Source organism: Homo sapiens, chromosome 6, assembly GCF_000001405.40.
Source record: "Homo sapiens chromosome 6, GRCh38.p14 Primary Assembly".
NCBI classification, from domain to species: Eukaryota; Metazoa; Chordata; class Mammalia; order Primates; family Hominidae; genus Homo; species Homo sapiens.
This window is the reverse complement of record NC_000006.12, coordinates 44,659,605-44,682,369: the sequence shown is the minus strand read 5'-3', so window position 1 is coordinate 44,682,369 and position 22,765 is coordinate 44,659,605. Positions and strand designations below refer to the sequence as shown.

Below are 22,765 nucleotides of genomic sequence, written 5' to 3'. Positions count from 1 at the left end.
GGGGTGTCGAGCCTGCTGTAACCCTTCCTGGAAAGGTCTGGGAACCTCAAGTGGAGCCAGGCCTGCTGGCCCAGAGGGCCTCTCTCAAGTCAAGATGCTGGCTAATAAATAGCTGAGTTGAAGCAGAAAAAATGAAAGGAGAAGGGGCCCCTTCAATGCTAGATGCCTCTTAGGTATTTGGGGGTGGGGGCAGGTCCCATTTAGAGGAAGGAGCCAGAACTCTGGGCAGGACCTACCACCCGGCACTCTCCACTGAGCCCCTCCAAGGGGCAGATTTAGATTCCACTTGAGAAAATTGGGAGTCCTCCAGAGTTGACCTTCAGCAAACCACAGGGTGACCCGGCAACCGCAAGACTGAGATTGGAGAGCAGGGACACGTTAGGTCAGAGAATCTGCACAGACTTAAAAGAGCAGCTGTCACAGCAGGGACGACGTGCGAAGGGTCAGACTGGGGGACAATAGGAAGGGGGCGTCCAGCGCAGCTGAGGATGCCATAGGCTGCCTGGGTAGCCAGGGGGCAAAGCAAAAGCCAGAGGCTGAATCATGGGACCCAGATGAATGCACTACTGCAGGCGGAGGAAGGGAGGTGGGGAAAAGCTGCTGGAAAAACCTCACTGTTCATGTCAAAATGACTGCTGTCAGATGACTGGATATTCCACAACTGGTGTCTCCATTCAACAAATAGTAAGCACACCTACTATGTGCAGAGGCTGGCGGGGAAACAAGGATAAATAAAACAGATGAATCCAGGGAGGGAGAGACGGTGCACACAAGGATAAACAATTCTCGCAGCGTCCTGTGGGGACAGGAGTCAGACCCTCTTCTTTCCCCTCTGCCAGGGGCACAGTCGCAGTCTCTGAGTGCTGTGGTGTGTGCTGCTACGTGCCACTCACGTGCACTGTTCTTTACCCACCATGCTCCACCCCTGAGCTTGGTTTTACTGTCCTATTGTGGGGATGAGAAAAGGGAGGCCTAGAGAAAGACAGAGAGGTAGAAGAGCCCAAGGCCCCATGGCTGGTCATTGGAGAGGGGGTAGAAGGCTCATGCTTGACCTTGGCTTAACAACTCCATCCCTAGGGCCTTGTCTCCCTTTGGACAAGGAGGTAAAAAACAGCCTCATGCTCTTCCTCCTCTGCTCACACTCCTCCTTTCCAGAACTCACTGTTACAACTTTATAATGGCTGACTACGCATTTGGGTCATGTCTCCAAGTGCCTACCTCATTTTTGCCTTTTTTAGGAGTTATAAATAATAATAATAGTAATATTAAGATGAACTTTCTGACCTTAAGGAGCATATACTCTAAGGGAAAGTCTGACTGCACACCTGTGAATTAACTTGAGAATAGTTTCAAAGCCACTAGCCCCCGTGGGGAAAATGAAAAGCACATCTACTAAGAGACACCAAACAAAATGAGGCATCAAGGTGGAGTTGGGGTAATCAGGGAAGGCTTCCTGAAGGAGGTGGGTTTAAAAGGGAAATGTAGAGGATGCACTGTACCCAGTTATGAGAGACTACATTCTGAGAAGGTGTGAGCTGGTCACAAAAGGACGGATCTGGGGAAGAGAGTGATCTGGAAGCCAGGAGTCAAGGAGGGAAGAAATTAGATTTGCTTTAATTTGAGCAGATGGTCTGCAGAGGAGAGTAACCAAGGATGGGCTTGGAGAGACCCTGTGATTGCACTTGAAGGAGAGCTGGGGGCACCAGGGAGACCTAGAATACCCTGTGGGTTAAAACAACAAACGAAAAACCCTTCTGATGGTTTGTTGCCATGGTCACACCTATCATGATGAAATGCTGGCTCACTCTTTCTCATGGGATCTTAATGCTCTCAGCCGCACAGCCCTAAGTGTGGGGAGATTCAGAACTATTGTTCAGTGATGCATCCGACAGGTGAGAATCTGTACCTTGTCTGCACAAGCCTGCAGAACTTTGTAGAGAAATGACTTTAAACAATGACTGTGGGCCTCCAGCTTCGCACATGCTCAGAAGTCACCCCTTGTCTCAGTGGCAGGCTGGTAAATATTCCTGGCTCTCCAGGGAAGAAAGCCCTGATTTGTAGTGGTTACCAATTTCTGTAGTACAAGTACACCCTCTGTGGCTTATTTCAAGCCACCAACACAAAGTTGCTGATAGCAGAGCTGGAATGTGATGTGCACAGTCAGCTCTGGAAAGCTGGTACCTGCCAGCTGCAGCCCACCACTGTCTGTGTTCATCTCACATTGGCCTGGCTAACTCCCACCCCCTCTTGATTCTGGCTTTTCCTTACTCTGCACACCCCCACCCAGACCACATCAGAGGCTCTCAGAGCCCACACCACCTCCATGTGTCCTTCAGAGCATATATCACAAAGCGTGACAATGCACTTATTTTTGTGACTCTCTGATATTGTCCCTCTCCCCACTAGATTATGAGTTTCATGAAGACAGGGCCATGAGTCTTTGTTCCCATGCACAGTGCCTGGCATTCGTACAAGATGAGTGTGAAATTGTTAAATGAAGGAAGGGAAGGAATCACAAACATTCTTTCTAGATTTAGTGGATTTAGTCATTTGACAGAGTCACTTTGACCCCCACCTCTGGGACTGCAGATCCATTACATGACATTATTTCACTCTTGGGGGTGCCACACAGACATACGGGTAGAAAGAGATCATGGAAAAAGGAATAGGACAGGCAGAGGGCATGGGTGTGGCTGGTGAGAACTCGCAGGAAGAGAACACTGAGCCTCCTTGGTAAATGAGTTGGGCTTAATCAAATCTTGGCTCTGAGCTTCTTTCCATGGGAACAAAGGAGACTACGGAAAGAAAACATTAAGCTGTGATGTTCCCCTTCCTGTGTCCAAGTGTTCTCATTGTTCAATTCCCACCTATGAGTGAGAACATGCGGTGTTTGGTTTTTTGTCCTTGAGATAGTTTGCTGAGAAAGATGGTTTCCAGCTTCATCCACGTCCCTACAAAGGACATGAACTCATCAACATGGCGTATGTGTACATATGTAACAAACCTGCACGCTGCGCACATGTACCCTAGAACTTAAAGTATAATAATAATTTTTTTAAAAAAAAGAAAGAAACTTTAAGCTGTGAACTGTCGCAATCACTCCTGATTGTCTTGGCTTGACAGGAGTTCTGAAACCACCTCATACTTGGAATAGAAGCCATGTGAAAACAAAGCCCCTGCATCACTCCTATCTGCCTGGAATGCTGTTGTGTGAAGGTGTAATGTTTGAAGCTGTGGCTGCCATCTTGTGACAAAGGGGCACTCCGTGTTGTCAGGATGAGGACGGCAGAGGAAGATGCTGGGGAAAGCCTGGATCTGCGGACATCTCTGAACCACTACGTCCTGGGACCAGCTATCTGGGCTTCCTGTTTTGTGAGATAATTTCACGTATTTATGATAAAATTATTAAAATTTGGGTATCCTGTTATACACAGCCAGAACTGTTCCTAACTGATACATCCCATTAAGTGGAATCAAACGCCTGTGTCACAATTGGGAACCTCCCTCATGACGCCTGGGTTGCATCATGGGGCCACTCTGGACAGGCAGGGGCTGGAGTTAGATGGAGCCTCCACCTCTGGATAAGATAGAGAGACAAGAGGAGAAGCAAGGGGGAGGCCGGGCGGGGCAGCTCCCCCAGCTCACAGGAGGCTTCTGTCTCACCCCTTCTCTCTGAAGCAGTGGAGTCATGTGGGTGCCAAACAGGTGTGCCTGGACCACCAAGGCCCTCCGTGGCCCAGTGAGGGATGGACAGAGGAGGAGACAGAGAGGGGATAAGGGATCTTGGCACTAAGCCCTGGAGTGTGTGTGCACACGTGCGTGCATGAGTGTGTATGTGTGTGTGCATGACTCTAGAATAGATCACACACAGACACACTGAGACACACACCCTGGAGCAGGGACAGTCAGCTGACAGGCAGGCATGACCCTGAGCAGCTCTGCCATGCCAGCCCTGGGTTTCTTGCAGGGGTGACGTGTCATCCATCCCTTTTGGAAGTGGAGTCATGGGGGCAGGGAGATCATGCCTCCAGATAAGGGTCCAAGCTGGTGGATACCTTCACTCCAGGAGAATGAAGGCAGGGAAAAGTGTTCATGGAGCGGAAACTGGGATGTTCCCTCAGCTCTTCGGACTAGGGCTTGTACACTTTCTTTTGACTCCTATCATGCCCCTCCTGACACTATGTTCTAGGGGTAACTCATCCTTCTCTACAGCTAAACTGTGAGGCAGGGACAGAGACAGGGCCTAGCACTCCTGGCAGTGGTGCACACAGTTGATGCACGAGTGAAGAGATACTATTTTGTCACTGTTATGTGGGGGCTGTGATACCCCTAGGCTGCGGTGGCTTGTGATGTTACTCATGACATCTACTTAGTGTGTGTTATATTCCAGGAATAGTGCAATGCAGGCACCCAGCATGTGCGTATGTGCGGGTCTGTGTGTGTGTGCATGTATGCGTGTGCACATGTGCATGTGTGTGCATAGGGTAGGGAATGATGCTGTCACCAGTTACCACCTCTTCTCTATCCTTTGTCTTTTGAGATCTTTTTTTTTAAGCCCATACATGGAATTCCAGCTGTAGGTCAACACATGCTACAAGAAAATTTTTTTTAATAAAAGCTTGCCACAAGTTACATGAAAACATGGCCCATTCTAATCACAGAGGGGCTTAAAAGCAGAAAACTTTCTCTGGCTGGAGTCAGAGAGATGAGGCAGGGGAGAAAGGCAGAAGAGATATGGCTGAGGGAAGTCAGAGAGATTGGAAGTGTGAGAAGAACTTGACCCACTTTTGCTGTTTGAAGATGGAGGGAGCAGTGGCGAGAGTGGCTTTACAGAGCAGAGAGAGGCTCTTGGATGACATCAGAAAGGGGCTAGATCCTGAATTCTCTTCCACAGCCTCTGGATCAGGGCCCAGGCTAGTGGATACCTTGATTTTGGACCGTGAGACCCTAAGCTGAGCCATGCTGTACCAGACTTCCGCCCTACAGAACTGTGATATAATAAGTGGGTGTTGTTTTAAGCCACAGAGTTCGTGGTTCCACAGCAATGGGAGATAATCCATCCTCCCATCTGGCTTTGCAGAGGCCCCTGGGTGCCAGTCTGTCTTGGGCGGTTCCTTAGCCTCTCTTGGGTGCTTCTTAGTCCTTGGCCTGGGAACCAAGAAACTAATTCCTGCTAATACGTAAGTAGCAGTGACATGGATGTCTTTTAGCTGAGGCTTTGGAGGGGATTTAACAGGAGACTCACAGGCATTCACATGGGTTGGAGGTGACAGTGCAAACCAAGCCAACAGAGCCGACTCTTCTCCCAGCTCAGCCTCTGCTCACAAATCTCATTTCTGATATTACTTCTGAGGGATCCAGTCACAGGAAGCAGCCTACAGGCTAAGCAGCTCTTTGAGGCTGACTCAGCCAGCGGCCTTATGGGATTTAAAGCCCAGGCTCCAGAGTGTCTAGGACTGGGACAGGAGACCACAAAACCAGCATCCCCACTGCGTCCAGCCAGGTCCTACCTGCCAATAAATGCCTCCTTCTGCTAAGCGGTGACTGCTTTTGTTTGCCAGAAGTCATCTCATTGAAGCTTGTAATCGTCTTCTCTCCTCCTCCAGGGAGACCACCAGCTTGGGAGACAGAGGTCTATATGGCCTGCACCGGCTCTCCCTCCTGCCTCTGCAGACTCAGTAGGCACAGCCTCACCCCTGAGTATCCGAGTCACTGACGAACATGCTCAGTGGGCCAAGGCTGAGGGCATCTTTGTTGGAATGTTTGGTTCCAATGTTCTAGGTGGCAAACTCCATGCCCTGTGGCCCTCCTCAAGGACGTGCCCCTCCAGGGTAACACCAACCCAGTCACTGCTTCCCCTTGAAGACAGTCATTCAACCAGTCACTGTCCCAACCACACAGTATAGTTCTCTGGTCTTGTCCAGAAACCCCGTATCTACTGTCTTTTACTGATATGCTAATCCTGGCACCCTGCCAGGAGGGCAACATGGATGCATGGACACACTCTCTCCCAGTGCATTCATGCTTCTCTCCAGGGGGCACTCCCAGGAGAAGCAGTGTGGCGCAGCAGTTAGGGCACAGCCCTGGAGCCAGGTGCCTCGGTGTGGATCCTGGCTCTGCTACTTGCTACCTGCGTGGCACTGGGCAAAGCTGTTAACCACATTCTCTGTCTCAATATCCTCATCTGCAGAGTCCAAGTAATCATCATAGCCAATTAAATACTATTTGGCCATAAAAAAGAATGAGATCCTGTCATTTGCTGAGCATACATGGGTGAAACTGGAGGTCATTATGGTAAGCGAAATGAGCCAGATATGGAAAGACAAACATCGCATGTTCTCACTCATGTGTGGGAGCTTTTTAAAAAGTTGATCTTGTGGACGTGAAGAGTAGAATGATAGAATGCCAGAGGCCAGGAAGGTTGTGGGTATGGGGTGTGGAGGACGAAGAGAGGTTGGTTAATGGATACAAACATACAGTTAGAGAGAAGGAATAAGTTCTAATGCTCAGTAGTAGAGTAGGGTGACTGTAGTTAAAAACAATGTATTGTACATTTCAAAATAGCTAAAAGTGAGGACTTGAAATGTTCTCAACCCATACAAATGGTAAATACTTGAGTCAGTAGTTACCCTAAATACCCTGACTCAATAATTACACATTCTATGCATGTAACAAAGTATCATTTGTACAAATGTTATTTGTCAATAAAAATCATCATACCAATTTCGTAAGGTGGTTATGAGCACTGAATTAGTAATAGCACATGTAAAGCTCAAATGTTAGCTAGTTTTATTACTATTTATTTCTCTAGGTATTGGCAAGCCCTACTTAATAATCTGTTCTACATCCTGTCCACAAGGGGTTGAGCTCATGGTTGTTATCCGCTTTGGCTGAATACTCCAGGAGTATCCTGGTTTCTGCTGGGCAGGTCTCGTTACAATCAGGAGGTGCACCGGTTATTTTTTTTAATGCACCTCCTCTCAGGTTTGAGAAGAATGATAGGGACACATCTAGACAATGAGCAGAAGCTTTCAGACCTCAGGCAAAGGGAGACTGTTAGGTCCCAACACACTAGAATGCAAACTCCCAACAGGTGGCAACCCTGCCCCTCTCAGTGTCTGAATTCTTCCTAGGATCTAGCACGTTGCCAAACACAAAGTGCTCCATTCACATTTTCTGAATGAATGAATGAACAGGGGGATAGCACACACTAAAAGACAACGTGCTTTGGACTCTTTTGATGGGAAGTCTGCATCTCACAGTTACACTCTTTGAAAGACTGAATTTTTGGTAAAGTTTGACCCTAACCTGCTTCGCAAGCCATTTTGTAAATATCCACTGAGTTATCTGGCACCCTGCCGGTCCCTCACCCTGTGACCCACTCTGAGGCTTGGGTCTGCAGCTGAGCTTCGGAGAGAAAGGTACTCAGAGGTCCAGCTGTCCTCCAGGGAGGAGGTGGCCTGTTTGCCAGGGCAGTGGCCCATTGTCACCCTTTGTGGTGGAGAATCAGGGCAGTTGATCTTTGTGGGACCTTTGCCCTCAGAGGTGCCCACTCTGCCCTAGGTAATCTCTCCAGAGCGGAACTAGATTTGGAAGCTGGGGAGACATTGGTGACTAATGAATGACTTAAGGGTGGAAAGGAGATTTGCATACAGGTAGGATGTGCCTCTGTGGGCTAGATTGAGGCAGTTTAGAAGTCTAATAATAGGCTTTCCAACAGGTAGACTTCTGAGGTCTCGCATGCTTCCGGTGCCTGGGGTTGACTCATCTTTCCAGTGCCTCAGGCAGGTTCCCATAAAGGTGCAATCCCATAGGGAATTCAAACACTGGATTTGCTGTCACTTATGGATGAGGATTGCAGCTCTGTGTCGAGGCTTTCAGCATAGCTCCTGACTTAGACATGACCTTGACCTGGTTGAGATTATAGCATCTTCCTGAGCCAGGGCTTTGAGCTGGAGTTCTGTCCCCGAGCCTGCCCCACCACCCACTTCCCTGCTTGCCCTTTATAGCTTGACTCTTGCAGCTGCTGAGGAAATGTTAAGTGTCTCAAGGCACGGAAACAGAAGGTGCACCATAAAGCCCTTCACAGAAGATTTTGTTAGGAAGTCTGGAGCAAACGTGGTCTTCCTTCTGGCTCCCCTCTCAGAAAAAATGCCCAGCCTCCATCTACTCCTTCTTCTCCCCACCCCCAGCCCATGTAAACCCCTGAATTTCTTCCTCTTTTCATTTTTTCCTGCCACCCAGTCCAAGATGTGACCATTTTTCTCCTGGAAAAGCCTCATGGAGGACACCTTGCTTTCCACACTTGTCCCTGTAATCCATTCTCTACATAGCAGCCAGAGGATATTTTAAAAATGCAAATTGGATTGTGTTGCTCCCCCTTAGAAATCCTCCAATGGCTTCCCATTGCTCCAAGGATAAAAATCCAAGTCTTTAACCCAGCCAATGAGGTTCTACATGGTTTGGACCTCACTCCAGCCCTCCTTTGCCTATTCCTCATTACACACATCTGAGTTTTGAATTATATATTGGTGGAATGATTTGAGTAGAGAGTAGGCAGGGCACCTCGTATGTCCAGACAGTTTGTGCACTGCACAGTTCCAGAGCATGGGGGGCATTTACACAGATTAGGATGTGACTAGGCACATGAAATTGTGCAGTGCACAACCTGCATGACCATACCTGGCTGCCTAGTTGTGTTTTCAGCTCCTGGCAGAGTACCTGGCACTTGGTAGGTGCTCAGTAAATATCAGTTGAATGAATTGATGTTGATGCAAGTTGAACTGGCATAATATGAGCATCCTGTAAATTTTCTTGAACCCCAGATATAATCAACAAATCCTAGAATGTTACAGACGCAATGCAGAGAGATTCTTGAAATATTTTTATTGGCAGTTGATCATGATAGCATTAACCTTTATCAATCATTAATTTCTGACACAGTCCTAGGTTCCTTGCATGGTTTATTGCAGTCAGTCCTCAAAACAAACCCATGAAATGAGCCTGATTATTATTTTCTTATTACAAAGGAGGAAATCATTTCCCAAGGGGTAAACTACACAGGTCCTAAGTGGCAACACCAGGATTGGAACCAGTGCTGTCTGACTCCAAAGCCCACGCTCCTGCCTTCAAGCCCGACACCAATGTTCAGGGTCAAGACTATTCCTTTATTTACTCCCAGAATCTTGCTTAGTACTTTGTTAGCGAACTAAAAGCTTTTCATAGCCGTGTGCCTGCCAGCTCTGAGTGTGTTACCTGGAACAAGCTCTCCTAGGATGCCCGGGGGCAGATGAGGGGATCAGCCACATGCCCATGGGCCCTGACTCACCAGCAACTTGAGAACAAGAAGAAGCTCAGCAGGTCACCTGAAACCTTTGTACTGGCCTCTGGCTCAAATGCAACACAAAGAGCTTTTTGCTTCTAGCAGACAGCAGTGGTAGGGTGGTTGGGGAACAGACAGCCTACTCCTGAGATCTGTGGCTTAAAAATTCTCATAATTATTGTTACCACATATCAGTTGTCCAGGCATCTGGACAGATGTGGGGTCCAGGCACCATGCAGACTCTCCTGCATATGTTAATTCCCTGAAAGGCAGGAAGAATTATGCCTAGTTTACAGCTGGGAAAACTGAGGCTCATTGAGATTAAGCAACTTGTTAAAGCTTCCTTAACCTGAGAGTGGCAGATCTGATATCCAAATAGGGTCTGTCAGTATCTAAATGCCATGCTTTCACTAGGACGCCCTGAGGCTCAGATTGTACCTAAGACCAAAGACCAGGTCACTGGGAGGCAGACAATGTGATGGCTCCCAGCCCACCCCTACCCCATCCCCCATCCTCTCCCACAGTAGGGCAGCATGCTGCTTTGGTGGAAATCATCCCTCTCCTAGCTCCATAAGCCAGTCCATGTAGTTTCATCCCCCTTGCCACAGTGATTTATTTGTTCCGGGATGGGAAGGAACTTAGGCTCAAGCCCATCAGTGCTTGACACTCTCCTGGCCATAATGTCTGTCTGAGGCTGGCTAAATCAGAGTGAAGCACAGGACTCGTGTTAAATATTTGGGGGTGGGGTGGGAGAGCTCTCTCTCTCTCACACTCCACAGTGTGGTATGCGGATGTGAGGCCCAGAACAATTGCAGCTGTTTTGCCACCATCTGAGAAATCAGGATGAAATGAAGCCAAATCATCAAAAAGGACAGAACTGGGCAGATCACAGAGAAATGGAGACATAGCCCTGATCAAACCATTCCTGCAAGTTGAACCACTCCTGGCCTTTCCATTGCATTTTCTAATATGTTATTCCCTTACTGTTCAAGTCGGTTTTTGAGCTAAGTTTTCTATTCATTGCAATAGAAATGATCATATCCAGAATCTACAGAAAATTGGCCTGGGTTGGTTTTCATCAGACCAGCCTCTACTAAAAGGAACTGGTTGCGGATGAGGTGAAGCAGCTGTGTGCAGGGCCGAAGGTGCAGGGATGCAAAGGGAGCAGGGTATGGTGGGGAAGTGTAAGGGAGGGGAGGGGTGGGGGGCTGAGGGAGAGGAGGGGGAGAGAAGAACTGAGGGGCTGGGGATTGAGAGTGTAAGAGACATTAGAGGAATTAGGGGTGTAAGGGGGCTAGGAGAATTTGGGAGGAGTGGAGGGTGGGGTAAAGAGATAAGTAAGGTGAGGGGTGAGAGAGCAAGGGGGTGAAGGAGGTGAGGATGCTGAAGGAGATGAGGGGGTAAGGGAGTGAAGGGGGTGAGGAAATTAAGGAGGGGAGGAGTTGGGAGGGGGCCTCCTAGGGGCCGTCCCAGGCCAGAGCTGCCAGGAGCACTCCTCTGGCTGCTGGGGACCCTGTTCCCACTGGGCAGGGGAGGCATCCTGCCTCGAGCCGTGGGGGGAACCAGAAGTCATGGAGGGAACCTGAAGTGGGAAGGCTGAACACATTGATGTAAATCGTTGCCCTCCATGTTTTCAGTTCCTTGTTGCTGAGAAATGGAGACTAGCCCTGATCAAACCATTTCTCTGCAACAAGAAAGGATTGAGCCCTGGGCTTTCAACCCTTGTTCCAAAGAACTAAGCATAGAAAGAATTCACCTGCTTCAAAGAGAGGGGATATTTTTGGAACTAAAACACTCCCCTTCCTCTTGCCTTAACCTTTTGCCCGGAGAGCACTGGGAAGCCTTGGTGAGGCTGCAGAGAAGGAAGGTGGACCCCACTGTGCACTGACTCCATCTGTGAAAATCTTGAATTACAAAGGAAAGCAGAGAAGACAGTATGATCACAAAAGGCTTCTTCCCATGATAAAAGGAGGTTCTGCAGTAGTCTTGTGAATAGTGAGCTGTCGAAGTGTCTTTAAAATCATATCTCAATTTACAGGAATCTGGCCTCATTTTACAGAATCCATCACCATTAGTAAGCAAGGCACACCCAAAGATAGGGTGCACCTAATGAGGACAAGGGCCCAAATTAGCCTTCTCTCTGGTCCTTGCCTCAGTTTCTCATTATCAAATCTGTCCTGAGGTTGTGCAGTCAGGGCCTCTCAAAACGCTCTGGCCCGCTGGACCTCCTGTCTTTAAAAAGACACACACACCTTTGTTCCTTCACCAGTGCATCCTTTTCTCAGACCTTTAGGTCATGGGAAAATGGTAGACAACTTGAAAATCTGCCCAAATCTGGCTCTGCAGCTTGAGTTATGTTTCTTAACCTCTCTGAGCTTCAGTGTACTCCTCTCTTAGTAGGTACTATGTCACAAGGCAGTTGTTGTATTAAACAAGAAAAATGCAAGTCAAAACACAAAACTTGATACTAGTAGATGTTGAATAAATTGTTTAAAGAAAAGAATACATCTGTGCAATGTACGGAAGGATGGATTGAACAAAGTGCTTAATTGCAGACAACAGAGTCTACTCTAGCTATTGACATGAAAATGAGTTTATTACAGAGTATGTGGGAGTTTGCAAAGTTTCTTGGGAGGCCCAGGAACCAAGCCAGGATGCTGCCCAACCAAAAACAATGCAGACTAGACAAATACCCAACCACACCACAGGACAATTTCAGCAGAAACTCTACACCCATGATGTTGGGAACCAGTCAGGATGGTTCCAGAAAAAACAAACATGTCCCCAGGGGATCCAATGTACCCACACTTGGCCACCACTCATGTTGCTCGCTGCCATCTTTCCTGCCACATGTGAGGCTGCCATTTGCTATACCTGCGCCATTAGCAGGTAACTCTGGCTGCAGAGAACCAACCCCTCATATTTGGGAAAGTCAGAGAGGCTGGTTTAGGCAGATGTTTAGTGAAGCAGCCTGCAGTGTTCACCATGTTGGGGCATCTCAGAACCCCTTGTTGTCCAGGTCTGGAAAGAGCCAACAATGTTGGGGGGTCCCATGCTGTCCCCACCACTGGTCTGTGCCCAGGAGCTACAGCATTCAATCTCTGTCATGCTCTTTAACCTGGCACCAACAGCTTCCCAGAATCCAGCCCAAACTACCACCTTGGCCTTGCCTTCCTCCTCTTGTTTACAGGACTCCTCTCTTTCAGGCAGCCCAGCCTACTCACTGGCTTCTGCCTCCTGAGATCCTGCAGGACATTGGGGGAAGGTGGACACTATGCATGCAGGCACACAAAGCCTTGATTTCAAGTTCCAGCCCTGTTATTTGTCTTCTAGCTATGGGACTGGGATGAATGATTTCCCTCTGGCCTTTAAATCCCTCACCTACCATTGCGTGATCATCACAACACCTCCCACTGCTGCGAGACTCCAAAGAAGGGCTAGGTGGAAAAAGCACTTGGTACATTGAAGAGCGCTCATATGGTCACTCAGAGCTTTCTCATCCTTCAAGGTTCAGCTCAAAACTGACTTCGCCGCCAACGCTGCCTGGATCCTGACTCTGTTGGGATTGTTCTCAGAGCCTGCTCAGTGTACTTGGAAATGTCCTTCAAAGCCTGCTAACTCTCATCATTTCAGGGTTGATCTGATATTTAGAAGCAACTGAAAATCATTTGAAGCCAATCCCAGTGAATTAGGTGAGTAATCAAACTGGGTAATGAAATTTTTTGGTCAATAACGAGGTGGGACGGAGTGGTTTATTTTTTTTTCCATGTGGCCCACACAAATGGACTCTGAAGGCAATTCCAAAAGAGATGCCACAAGGAACTTGAGCGATGGCAACTCCACTGGAATTGGATGGAGCCTTCCAGTGGAATGTCTTTGGAGTCCTACTCTGTTTGCTGAAAAAACACAGTCATTATTTTATAATCACATCTTACATAAACATCAGCTTTTCTCTACTGGCTTTGAAACTGGCATGTATAAACAATGTTCCCTCAATTTATTTTGAGTAAATGACCATAGTCAACAAGCAAGAATCTATAAAGATGGAATATATGTATTTGGAATTTTAGTGTTGTAATTAAATCAAACGTACAGCGAAGGTTATCTGATGCATAATTAATCATTTGCATAGTTGTTGCTATGTGGCTTGGTAATAAGGTATAAATGTTCTTTGCCTAATTTTGGCACAACAAACTCAGGCATTTTGGACGTTGGCTGGGATGGGGAGAGAGGGGGAAATGCGGGTACGGGGGATGGGGCAGGCTTAGCTCTCCAGCCCTCTCTGCCACTCCCTCCCCAGCAGGTCTCATCTGGGCACAGGAGACCGCTTGGCCTCAAGCTAAGATGTAGTTTCAAGACTGAGCCCGTGGGCCAGGACTCTGAGAGCAGTGGGCCGTGGATGCTGCCAGTTCTGTCTTCCGGAAGAAGAAAAATGAGTTAGAGGTTGGGAAGATGTTTCTGGGGCCCAGGAGGCAGTCAGCTCCTGCTTGGAAGGTTGATGAATCCAGAAGTGAATCTGGCTTGCCCCCTCTCTGGGTAGGTGACCTTGGGCTGCTTAGTAACCTCCCTGAACCTCAGCGGTTTCCTGATTCAATGGCAGGGTTCCTGGGGCATAATGAAAAACTCTAGGTGCATAGTAGGCACTCCATGAAAGAAGTCTTGGTCTCTTTCCCCAGGGACGCTGGAGGCAGGGTGAGGGTGGTGGCGGCACAGCAAGTCAAGGATGTCACTTAGCCATCTGTCGGCAGGGGTAGGAACTGCAAAGGGCTTTGGGAAGGCTGGCAGAGCTCTTCAGATGAGATGCTCCCTCTTCTCTCTTTCTCGTCCCTTTTATTATCACATATCACATTCCTAACGCCAGCATTCAGGAACAGCTGGTTTTATGGAGGCAGAGGAAAGAAGGACTCCCTCAAGAGATAATCATGGGGCATGGCTGGCTTGTGAAAGTCCCAGGGGCTCAGCGCTGTGTGGGGCCAGAGCAGGCTTAGCAGGGCAGGGCCAAGGAGGCTGAACAGTGGGCCCTGGAGGAGCGGAGTCCTTGAAGTGCAAGAGAAGGGAGGGGCCCACCTGCAGGGAGAAAAGAGGGAAGGCACCTCGGCAAAATGGGGCTCTGCTGTACCTTGTTCTTTAACCCTGTGATGGTTGACAAGCTATTTCTGTGCACTCTGAAGGGGTGCCCTTGGTTTGGGGAACTGACAAAAGGCAGACACTGGGGGATGAATCAAAGGTGTGTGGGGCAAAGGAAGGGCTTCAACTAGATGGGAACTGGCCTCCCAGATTCTGCACCATGCAGAGATCCAGGGGAACCTGGCCTGCAAATCCTGTAACTTGGCTGGGTTTTATTCAAGGTGGGCGGTCTAGTCCTGGTGGTAGGAGGAGGGAGGAGAAACACATTCAAGTTGTGTTGCTTATTAATGGGAAAGATCCTTTCTCTGGAGACACATAGAAAGAGGAAGAGGAAAACAGCCACAGGTCTGAACAGTCCAAAAAGCCGGAGCAAATGCGACTGTCAGATCCCAGCTCCCCCAACACCCCCTGTGGAGGCATTTCACAGGCCTAAAGACGACCATGACTCATCCATTAATTTGAAGAGAAAACAGAGGATGAAAACAACAGAATAGTCCAGACACAAGCATTCTTCTAATGCTTTCCATTCCCCAAACACACATTTTAAACCAGATTCCCTTGGCTTCCCAGAATGTCTTGATTTTATGCTTTCATGAGTCACTAGAGAGAATGCTGAACCCTATAGAGGGGGCAACTGTCAATGAAGTTATTGATGCTTAAGGATGGAGGTGCTGAGACAGCCTGGGGCTCCCAAGCTCTGCCAGCCTCGTCCTTCATACAGGTGAGGGGCCTGAGACCCCAGAGTTAGAAACTTGTGCTCACGCCTGCTTTCCTTCATCCTCTCCCTCTTCTCCTTCTCTTCCCTTCTTCTCCTCTTTCTCTCCTTCCTCCATTCCTTCCAATGCTTCCCTCACACCTTTTCTTGCCGTTCCCTCCTTCTCCTCCTCTGGGTTTCCCTTAAGAAGTGGGTCATCTCAGGTCACCAGGACACAGCCCCTGCCCTTGTCTTGTAAAGCTCTGGTTTACAAAAATCCCACCTGTGCCAGGAAGACCAGGCTCTGCCCAGTCTTCTTTGCAATGCAGAATAGACTTACCTGGTTTTATGAACAGCTTAACCAATTATTTTAAAAACAAATACCCATCGTGGAACACTATGTGAAGGAACATTTCTCTTTCCCAATTTAAAAGCCAGCATATTCTCCTACCGTCCGCAGCCCCTTCTGTGCCTCTCCTTCCCCAAATGCTTGCTTTGGCTTGGGGGAGAGGTTTTCGATATCTGACACCTCTTGAAAGTGTAGTTTGGCAAATGAGAATTGAAATCCACTCCAGACAGCCAGGCCTGCTCTGGGGGCTGCCTAAAAACACCTGGGTCCCTCCTCACACCCGACAAAAGCCAGGCCTCCTGTCTGAAAAAAAAGCAACACCCTGGTCTCTCCACCGTTCCCTGCCCTGCTCCATACTCAGCTGCCCCTGCTCTATGAACACTGAACTAAATTTAAAACCTTGGTACTAAAACAGGTGGTAGAAGCAGGCAGGAGTGGGCCTGGCTGGATTGGGGGCATCTTCCAAGAGTTAAGACAGAGGACTTTTAAGGCTGGACATCTGGGCTTCTTCCCTCCTCCAGCCTCCCCACCAGGCCCTGACTTGACCATCCTCAAAGCCTTGCAGATGTTCAAACTGATTTAAGATGTTCCTGGAAATGACAAGGGAAAGTGTCCAGGTGTCTTTAGCAGGTCTTACCTGAAAAGCCCCCTCTCCCCACAACCTCTGGGAAAGCTGCCTCAGTTGGTACACTTCCCTCTCCCTGGGAATCAAAACTACTTTCCAAGGCCTACATGTGGGCTGGTTTCAATAGCCCCATATAAAACAGCAAACACCCTGTCTAAAGAAAACAGTTTTTAAGGTGCAGCAGAACACATCATAATGCAGAAAACTGTAGCCCAGCAAGCACACGGTGGAATGGAGAAATGGGTAAACTGTTAAGCCAGCACAATGGTTCAGAGATCATAGTGCTGGGCCCGCTGTGGGACGGCCACTCACACAGACACACACAGACCCACACACAGAGCCGTCCCCGATCATGCTCCTGTTTGTACTCAAGCAAACATACCCCCATGGCAACGAAGGGATTTTGCATCACCCAATGCACACTTTGTTGTGCGCATTACGTAATTCATATTTGTAAAAGTTTCCTCTAGGGGTAAATTATTAGGGAGACAAAGGGAAAAAAAGAAAACAAATTCCAGCTTCTTCTAGATTGTGCTCTCAGAGAGGAGCTGTGCCGCCCAGAACAGTTTTCCACTCCCCAGCCATGTTCTTCCTTGGAGGGCGGTGCTGGCCCCAAAAAGAGTCCTGTGCTGTGGAGGGGACACCTGGGTTCTTTCTGCTTTGACTTCCTCATGGGCCAGAACATGAGGCTCCTCTCTGCACCTCAGTGTCTTTCTCTGCTGTGCAGCTCAAGTGTGGGGGCTGATGAGCACAGGAGTTCTTTGAGCATTGGTTGATGGCTTTGAATCCTAAAATGCACAAAGCTTCCATTGCTTTTGTCCCCACTTGCCCTTAGCCCAGCCCATGGCCTTTGTGAATTAGGCTTGCAGCAATTTCTTTTGGGCTGGGCTGTGAGCATTTCTCTAGGTGGTCTGCTCTTGCTGTCTGGGAAGGAAGGGGAGGAGGGTGGCCAGGCAGCCCCCGGAGACCGCAGTCTGTGTGAGGGCCACTCTGGGCCAACCCAGCGAAGCCCCTCAGTGTACCCTGGGTCACTGGGCAGGCACATACCCCAAATGGCAATAGTCTGGGAGCACAGTCTCTTCCTCCTTCTGTCAAACTGCTCATCTGGATCTAGCCTGTACCTGGGATTTCTTATTTATCTAAGTCAAGTATCTCCACATGCAGGTCTGAGGGGGAAAAAAACTGTGAGCTCAGTCGCTCTCTGGCTAAGCACTTAACTTTTCTTTGGCTCCAGACGCATGTTCCAAATACGAGGGTTTACATATAGACATATCTATTTGCAGATAATTTGTCTGAGCCCTTATTATCCTGTAATTGGGTTAAATGCTGCTGTGTAGGCAGCAGCATACCAAAGCCATTGCCGAATCCCTGCAAGGCCTCAGGCCTCCCCTCCCTCCCTCTTTCCTCCTGCAGGCCTATTGGAAGAAAAAGGTAGAAACATAAATTAAGGCAGGGAGAACATATTTCTTTCTTGGAATGAGCTATTTAAAGAACAAGCCAGATGTGCAAATAGACATTTTCCCCTTGCTCTTTACATTTAAAAAGACTGTGTATGTGTATGCATGTGTGTGTGTGTGGGGCGGGGGGTGGTGGTGAGAGAGAGAGAGAGAGAGAGAGAAAGCCTGAAACATACCATTCTCCTCTTCCTGTGGAGACCACCGCACTTTTCAATAAGAGCCATTGGTGGTGGGTCCGATGTCACCGTGTAAACACAGCGAGCCCCTTCCCATGGCAGCAGGGCCCGGCTCTGCCCTTTCTAAAAAGCTGCCCACACTGTCCTTCTCTCTCAAAGCCTTTCATCTTTCACCTCCCCGTTGGTCTCTAGGTCAGACACAGCCCTTCTAAAGGACCACCACCCCGCCCTGCCACCCCCTAGACCTTGAATGATGGGGCCTCTCTTGGAGCCCATGTTCCCAGTGGCTGGAACACATACTTTTACAGTCACCACTTGGCATCGGGACACCAGCTTCATGACTTACCAGGTTCTCTCCAGAGAAAGCACTCTTTGATATTTTAATTGTTTTATAGAAATCTTCCTAAAGCATATTATGCTTTCCTACCTTAAAAAAATTACATATCACATTGGGCATAATTTCATCAAAGACATAAAATGCAGGACAGCCCTGCCAGCCTGGAACTGGTTTGGTGTTGGGAGTCAGAGCTGGGTTGGGATCCAGAGAGCATCGCTCCCTATCTGTGACCTTAATAGCACCAGGAGTCTGTCTCCTCCCGGAGAGATGGCTTTGACCCTGTAGGGGATAGCATTCTGGGGGATGCCTTGCAATAATCCCATTGTCCCTTGCCCCTTCCTCTTTACCTCCACTGCCTTCAGGCCCTTCCCTTGCTTGCCTGGGTTACTGTCAACCACTAAGGGAGCCCTGCTTTTGCTCCCCCTCCTGTCCTGATCCTTTCAGCCAGATTAACCTTTTCCAAAATGTAAATCACATCATGTCCCTCCCCTACTTAAAACCTTCAAAACTCCCTTCAGCTCAGAGAACAAACTTCGAGTGCTTGGTTTGCTGCACAGAACATTCTCATGGACACTCTCCTGCCCCACCTGCCAGCCAGGCCATGCCCCTTGCAGGTCTGAACTGTAGAGTCCTGTTGTCACCCTTCTACCTGGCTAACTTCTGTTCCTCTTGGGCGCAACCCAGCTGTCGGCTTCTCCTGGAAGTTTTCTCAAGCTGCATTAGGTCTACCTTACTGTGCTCCCTCATTTATGGAATTTCACCCCACAGAAATCCTTCCTGTTCGCCCACATAAACTTCTTGAAGGCTGGGCTTGTGTCTTTTCCCCTTGTACTCCCAGCGCCCAGAGCAGTGGGCAATAAACAGTTCTCCCTCCATCATTTCAGCACCAACTTTCCTTCGGTCTTGCTCTTGATGACTTAGACACGTGTCCTGGACACTGATGATGGTGATTATAATTACAGCCCTAGGGGCTACAGAGCTGAGTAGGCTATTTATCTCTGCCCTAAATAGGCGCAGACCACTGGGGCTTTGAAATGGTCCCTCCACTCTTTCTGCTGTGAATTCTCACCTCTTGCTGCTGACTGTGTGTCTTACTTTATGCCCAATTATTGGGTGAGGGCCTCGCCTGTCTTAAAAATTAAATTGCAGGGCTCTGAGCTGTTTTCCTTGACAAGCAGGAGTCTTGTTCTCTACCTTTGTCTCTGTGGTTTTTGTCCTCAACCGTTGGAATGGCAGGAATTTGGCTTTTGGACAAGCCATGGGGGCCGCTGCAAGGGCTGTGTGTGAATTGCCCCCTGTAGATCTGGGGAGTGTGGATGGACAGCACGCCAGCTGCAGACTCAAGAGCTTCCGGATTGTTTCAAGGGCTAATTTGATTAAGAATAACTTTAATTCCTGGAACCTGCTTTGAAAACTTGCATCTGTGTAAATGTCAAGTTTCTTAGTGTCAAATTGAAAACCACAAAAGGACAGATGTTTTGCTTAAGCTGGAGGACGACTAGCCCAGTTGGAAGAAGGACACACAGGGAGGCCAAATGGGGCCACCAGGACAGAGCCCGGGCCCGGGGAAGTGCTTCTCCTCTGATGCGTGACGTTTCCCGCAGGTGTGCCCTGTCTACAAGGCAGGTCAACACGAGGACCCAGCTGAAGGCAGTAGCGCACCCACTAGGAAAATACCTGTATTTGTGAGTGGCACGGGCACAGGAGCCACCTTGAGAAAAATGTGAACATTCCAACCACCCAGTTACAGGAAATACAGAGCTCACAGGAACATGTTAGATTGCACCACTGGCACACAAGGAGCAAAATCCAGCATAGGGGAACTCTGTGGGACTGCACAAACTCTATTTTCCTCAACTAATAAATTGCAAGGAAAAGAGAGAGGGGGTGGAACCTCTAGGTCAGGGTTCTCAACCTCAACACCCTTGTCATTGGGGCTGGATAATTTTTTGTTGTTAGGGGTCTCGGGGGCTGTCCTGAGCATGATAGGATGCTTAACAGCATCCCTGGCTTCTACCCACTAGATACACTCCCCACCAACCCAGTTTTGACAACCAAAATTGTCCCCAGACATTGTCAAGTTACCCCTTTAGGAGCAAAACTGCCCCTAGTTAAAAGCTCCTGCTGTAAATTCAAAGAGGCTTAGGAAACATACTGACCAATCACAATGTATGGACCTTATCTGGATACTGAAACAAATAGATAAACTGTTTAAAAATAAAAAAAGAAATATTTATGGGACAATTACAGAACTGTATACTTGATACTATTAAAGGGTTCATTGCTAATATTTTAGATATATAGTGGCATCATGAATATCTTTTTTAAATTCCCATTTAGAGACACATATTGAAACATATAAGCGAAATGATATCTGACATCTGCGCTTTGCTTCAAAATAACCCAGGGCAGGGGCAGGGAGTAAAACAAAGAAGAAACAAGATTGGTCATGAGTTAAAGATAATTGATGGGTCGTGGAGCTTGTTATACTAGTTTCTCTACTTTTGTATATATATTTTTTCACAAAAAATATGTTAAATGAAAGAAAAAGAATAAAAGAAGGGAAGGACTAGTTAGGACTCTGAAGCTGAAGATATTGTTTCTCCTCAAAGAATCGCTGTCACCTTCTCATCAGCTTTTCCCAATCTTCCCTTTAATCAGATCCCTCTGGAAGCCTGTGTCAGTGGTGTTCACCACTCTAAAAAGCTCAAGCTGTGCAAAGGAAAGTCACATTGGGCTGAATCCTTGTTGCATGAGAATTTTAATAGTTGATGTTATCTGCATGACCCATCTTGCCCAAGCAGTTCTCTCCCTAATGAGTTCTGGCAGTACAAGGTAGGCATTCCACAAATGGCTTTTGCATGCAGCCATCTGTGAGTGAATGAACTGGTGAATGGGCAGAGTTCAAGGTAGTCTGCTGGGCTGTGGGAGAGATGTGACTTAATAAGTAAGTCACGGTCCCTGCCCTAGAGGAGTTCACTGTCTACTGGGGGCTAGTTTAAACAATCAATGCGAAAATAATTCAGAACGAAGGAAATGCTAAGTAGACTCTAAGCAATGTGACATGGTGTGGCCAATTCCAAGCAACAAGGAGAGCCAAGTCTCAGCTCAAACCTTGGGGCCTGATCTCAGAAGGAGCAGCACCAATTCTTATGACATCCAGTTGCTTTTTACGATTCTTTCAGTTGTGAAGTCATAAAAGTTGTCCTACTCTAACAAATTCACCGGGGAGACTTGGCTGGCTACAAAGGAGAAAGTCTGTTTACATTAAAAAGGAAAAAAAAAAAAAAAGAAAAGAAAAACAGATGAACTACTGCAAGAAAACCAAAAATCAGAAAAAGCTGTCGGTGGCTTAATATGCTCTTTAGCGGCTTCAGAAGATCTGACTCATGCCTTTTCCTAATATGTCTTCCCATGTCAAAATCCACCACCTCAAAGGGAAGCAGAAGATGGTCTTACGGAGACCATGCTCTAGGCAGCTGCTTCTGAATGGTGCCAATGTGTTAGCTCACCGCCCGAAGTGCAAAGTCCTTTTAGGAAATTGATTTTCCTTGGATAAAGTCACTTCCCTCTCTGCACCTCAGTCTCTTCCACTGTAAGATGAAGCAGTTGGATGAGATCAAGCATGGCAAATTTGTGGCACACTTGCCACTCCTTACCACTCTGTGCTCAAGAAGACAGGCGTTGCTAATTGAGCTAAGCACCTTTCCACACCGAGCCCAGACATACCGGGCCTACTCAGTGGAGGATTCCAGTCACACGCAATCCATCAGAGGGAAATGATGCTTGCCTCAAACGTACTTGTCATCTCTGGCCTTCAATGTCCCAGAATTTTAAGTGAGTTTAAAAATCCCTGACCAAGAACACATCCACAGAGAGAAAACCCAAGCACACAATTACTTCACATCCAAAGGTTATGGAGAACTTCTACTTGCTGAGTGTCATGATGGGATTCAGGCAGAAGACAGAGAAGACAGGGCCCACTCACCCAGCTTCTTCCACAACTTAAGGGGCTTATGATTTGATTAGGGAGAGGAGACTTACAGGAAAACACAAGCCACAGCCTGACACCAGGGCCAGATCACGGACAGTCAGACCACAGCAAATGGAGGTGGAGGTGGCATGGAGTGGGCAGAGAATAGGAGACTTGAGCTGAGCCTTGACGGATGAGCAGAGTAGACAAAACAGCCAGAAAAGCCAAGGTCATTCGGAGCCAGGCCCCTGCCCTAAGCTCTCCCGCTGCTCTCCTGAGTGATAAGCGAGCCCCTTCTCCTTCTGGGCTGTGTTTTCTTTGCAATGGGCTCCATTCCTAACCCATTTTGCAGGTGATGCAATATCCATGGGGATGTTGGGTGGTGAGGCTGTCCTAACAGCATCCAATAATAGGAAAGGAAATTAAGCTTGAGAAATCCACACTCAAAGGCATCTTTTCTTCCCACAAAGGAAGTATCTGGAAGAAGTTTGCTGGTGTGTGAGCATTTTATCCATTTCCCCACACAGACTGAATTTAGCACAGAGGGTGGAAATGAAAGGATCGGGGAGTCCCTGATCTTAGCTGCATAAACTGTAAGAATTCTGTTTTCAAAGTGGCTACCCCAAAACTTTACGCCAGAAATAGAGCTGACCAAGGCAGAATCTGCAGGTGAAGAAGTCTGTTTTAGCTGTGTGTGTAGTGAGA

General features: G+C 48.0%; 2 annotated features.

Moving 5' to 3' along the window:
* Positions 13,229-13,736: an enhancer, noted in NCBI's record as "H3K27ac-H3K4me1 hESC enhancer chr6:44636371-44636878 (GRCh37/hg19 assembly coordinates)". NCBI's record gives its function as "activates a minimal SCP1, AML or CMV promoter by ChIP-STARR-seq in naive H9 embryonic stem cells {active_cell/tissue: H9 hESC(naive)}" and the evidence as "EXISTENCE:reporter gene assay evidence [ECO:0000049][PMID:30033119]".
* Positions 14,755-15,263: an enhancer, noted in NCBI's record as "OCT4-NANOG-H3K27ac-H3K4me1 hESC enhancer chr6:44634844-44635352 (GRCh37/hg19 assembly coordinates)". NCBI's record gives its function as "activates a minimal SCP1, AML or CMV promoter by ChIP-STARR-seq in naive H9 embryonic stem cells {active_cell/tissue: H9 hESC(naive)}" and the evidence as "EXISTENCE:reporter gene assay evidence [ECO:0000049][PMID:30033119]".